The sequence below is a fragment of the Homo sapiens genome, chromosome 2, assembly GCF_000001405.40.
Source record: "Homo sapiens chromosome 2, GRCh38.p14 Primary Assembly".
NCBI lineage: Eukaryota > Metazoa > Chordata > Mammalia > Primates > Hominidae > Homo > Homo sapiens.
The window spans coordinates 16,492,928-16,496,789 of NC_000002.12; the positions used below are offsets into that span (position 1 = coordinate 16,492,928).

A 3,862-nucleotide genomic window follows, 5' to 3' on the forward strand; every position below is an offset into this window, starting at 1 on the left:
AAAATACAGCTTATAGTATTTAATCCCAAAGAAATACAACACTTGGATAAGACCTAAACTGTAGTACCGAAATCATTTCTGAGTCCAAACTACTGAGATCAATTTCAACCTTGGATTTTTAAAAATAAAAAATTAAGACCTACAAGACAAAGAGTCCAGCATAGGTAAGTACAGATGGAAGTCAGTCACACACACGTACACACACATGCACACAGGAATTCACTAGTGTGTGCACACACTCACTCTCCTCTCTTCTGATAGATAACATGATCCTCTAAATCATTGCATGCAACTTCAAACCCATTTCTGGGGCTGCACATATTTTCAGTGAGACCTTTCTGGGCCTTATTGTCAAAGGCACATGGCAATTAAAATGGCATTGACAATCTTCTGATCTGTCCTTGCAAAATAGAAAATACAGATTAAGGGAAGATTATGCTAAGGGGGAGAAGATATTAGAGTGGGAAGGGCTGTTTGAAGACAGTTTGTTCAGCATGGTTAAAAGGCCTTTAAGCCTAACCCTGAAATAGCTTTGTGTCCTTCCTAGTCATGCACTCTAGCTGTGTCCTGTACAACATATAGCACAAGTCAAAACCACTGTCATAGGGAAGGGGAATTTGATTTTTTCATGTTTAAAAGGACAGGTAAGAAAGATATTTTTTTCATGTCAGACAGTTGTCACTTCCCTATCTAAAAATGCTTGCATTTCTCAAGCAGGTCTTTTACAAGATACAAGCTTGTTAAATGAAAGCTTTAAAAATAATTCCATTACCCACCTTACAAAGACAGAGTGACAGCTGATCATTAGAAAAAGAAAGTCTTCATGGATGATGCACAAGTTGCAAAAGATGTGGTTTCACCCATTATAAAAAGGGACGAACAGTGACATCCCACCAGGGGAAGTGCCTCCAGAATTTTAATAACTTCTGTTGATAGATGACATTCACTGCAAACGCACACCAAACTGTTAAAGAAAGTCTATGGTCGAAAGAGTTTAAGTGTCTTAAACTGTCACCTCTCTGGCTGCCTGTAAAGAGACTGCTGGAAGGTTCAGAACTGTGGACAGCCCATGCTGTCATTCCTGTTGCAAATGCACACCAAAGGCTGTGTGTCCATCTGAGTGTCCCCTGTCTATCCTAGGGGCATGTCAAAAATGCAGAAGCAAGGTCCCCAGATCATATAGGGCTGGGAGGTGCTTAGAGTCATCACCTCCAGTTCCTTTATCATATAGACAGGAAATTAGATGTCCAGTCAGTCATACAGGAAGTCAGTGACAGAGAAAATACTATAATCTGAGGCTTTGGTTTCCTGGTCCAGAGATGCTTTTCTCTATCCTTGACTCTCTTGTTACAACTTACGGTTCTTCATGACCTGGCCCCCACCTCCGTCTGACCCTCTCCTGGCATTCTCTCCTTGATCATTCTATCCCAGCTACATGGGCATCCTTGCTATTCTTGAGACACACCAAGCAAACTCCCACCTCAAGGCCTTTGCACTTCCCACCTGGCTGCCAGGCACACTCTTCCCTCAAGACCACAAGGACCAATTCTTCACCACATCCAAGTCTCTGTTTAGATGTCATCTCCTCAGGGAGGACTTCCCTGATCGTTTTATCTAAAATAGAACTTCCTATCATTTTCTGTCTTGTTTCCCTTACTCATTTGTCTTCTCAGCATTTACCAATGTGCGGACAATGTAGTGGAAATCAAAATATTTATGTATGTTATGTATGTATGCAAGTACCTCTGTTTCCAAGAAACGTCAGTTCCATGACGACAGGAGCCTTGTGAGTTCATCCACTATTCTATCCCCAGCATCTAATGGGTTCCAATAAATATTTCTAAAGCCATAATTAAACAACACCTTTGAAAGTGTTCACTGCTCTTTATAAGTTTAGATGGCAAAATGTACCACTCCACACCCAGGAGCTCAGAACCTCATCCCACTAAAGACAATATGGCTTCCTTGTCTTTCATTTCCTTTTCCAATACTCAGTTGAACTCAGATATACACTGAGCCTCTACTATCCTGCATTAGTAACTGTTCCAGACTCTGCCTGGCTTACAGATGGCTGCTGTCTCACTGTGTCCTCAAACGAGGGAGAGTGAGGTGGGGAAAGGGGAAGTTAGAATTTAAAGAGACCCATTCTTTGTCTTTTAGCTTAAAGTTCTTATATAAGAAAAGATAACCACAAGTCATTGTGTACGTTCAGAGGTGGAACACGAAAAGTGTATTATGGGATGCAAAAACACTGAGGGGAGAAGCCATGGTCTGGAAACTGACCCCTAGTGAATGAGAAAGGAGAGTCAGCCTAGAGAGATCATCCTAGGAGGGGGATAATGGCATTTGACAATGCCAGAAGCATCTGGAGAAACCAGGCTCAGAGGCGGAAGCAACTCAAAGATGACAGGGAAGGGTGACTGAATCATCAATGCAGACAGTTACCAGTGCCTAGAACACCAGGGGATGCCTTGCTGCTATAGGAGCTGTGGCCAAGCACGTTTCCTTCACACTGTATTGTCAGCAACTTGCAGATAAGGACCTCATCCTTCCATATCCAGCCCACCAGTGTTTGTTAAACTAAGTGATGAATACATTCAATCAAGTTTGTTAAATTGAGTAGTGAATATAGCCACTGATTTAAAAGGCATGTTTTCATAGGGGAATAAGCACAGAGGATTCAGCATCAGGAGATCTAGAATGCTGGTGCCTGGGCTTTGCCACCAGCTGTGTTAGTTCAGGCAAGGCCCATGCTTGATCTGCATCTTCAATTAACCACCAACTCATCAATAAAAAGGACAAAAGAAATCAGTTATAAAAGACCTTCCAACTCTGACATCCTAGAATCCCATAAAATATTATCTAGGCTTTTTTTTTTTGGCACTGGCTAATGTTAATTATTTTAGAAATACCATTGTATTTGCAGGTCTTAAGAAAATTACTCTTTACCACAGTGATGGCCAAGGTCCTTCCAAATAGCTAACATGCAAAAGCACAGTTAGAGGCCATTAATCCACAGGTCCGTTTCCCAGAAACCTGACTCATTCAGGACCTTTTGATCCTGAGCTCATCAAAAGAGTCCCCTGAGTGCCCACATTAGCTGTTGAAAGTTCTAGCATTAATGGCTATGTGCACTGTTGCTCGTGCCCTTTTGCAAAGCCTTATGAAATCTAGATTCTTGTTCTCCAACAATTACTCAAGAATGCTGTTTCTTCCGCTGGAAATTTTATTCCTGTTTGTTCTTCCAGGTGAACTCCTGCATATTCTCAGAGTTTATCTCAAATTTCCTTGCTCCCTGAGCTGCAACTACATCTTCCTACTGCCTACAGTTTGTGGCTCTGTCTTCTAGGTTGTACCTTCCATATGGCCTTTGCCATTCTGTATTGTGGCTATGCCTGTTGAGAGTTTAAGCTTGTTGATGCCTGTGTCATGCTTTATTTATACTATTCCCTGGCATCAAATTGGTGTGCAGGGAGTGTTTTCTGGAGACTTCTAGTGATTTGGTTTCCTGGACCTTAGTAAAAGAAACACAGTAATTAGGAAAAGAATGGTTGAAGAAGACATTCAGGAGAGACAGTTATGTGAGTCCTAAGAAAATCACAGTTGGCATTGCAAGATACCGAGGGAGGAGACAAAGGACCTAAAACCAGATACAGATCTGCATTACTGCTCAGGATGCTAATGGGTGTTTAGAATGACATCTCTGAGTGGTTTTGAAATTACGTAGTTATGTATGGCAGATGGGAATTCAGAATTTCTGGAAATGTCAAATACATTTCAGAAAGATGTCTATTAAAAAGAGCTTACTATACTTGTTTGGTGTTTGACAAGCTCAACTTCAGTTATCTGGAAAAGCCCAAGG

General features: G+C 41.5%; 1 annotated feature.

Annotated features, from left to right (window-relative positions):
• Nucleotides 2,779–3,339: an enhancer, noted in NCBI's record as "NANOG hESC enhancer chr2:16676974-16677534 (GRCh37/hg19 assembly coordinates)". NCBI's record gives its function as "activates a minimal SCP1, AML or CMV promoter by ChIP-STARR-seq in naive H9 embryonic stem cells {active_cell/tissue: H9 hESC(naive)}" and the evidence as "EXISTENCE:reporter gene assay evidence [ECO:0000049][PMID:30033119]".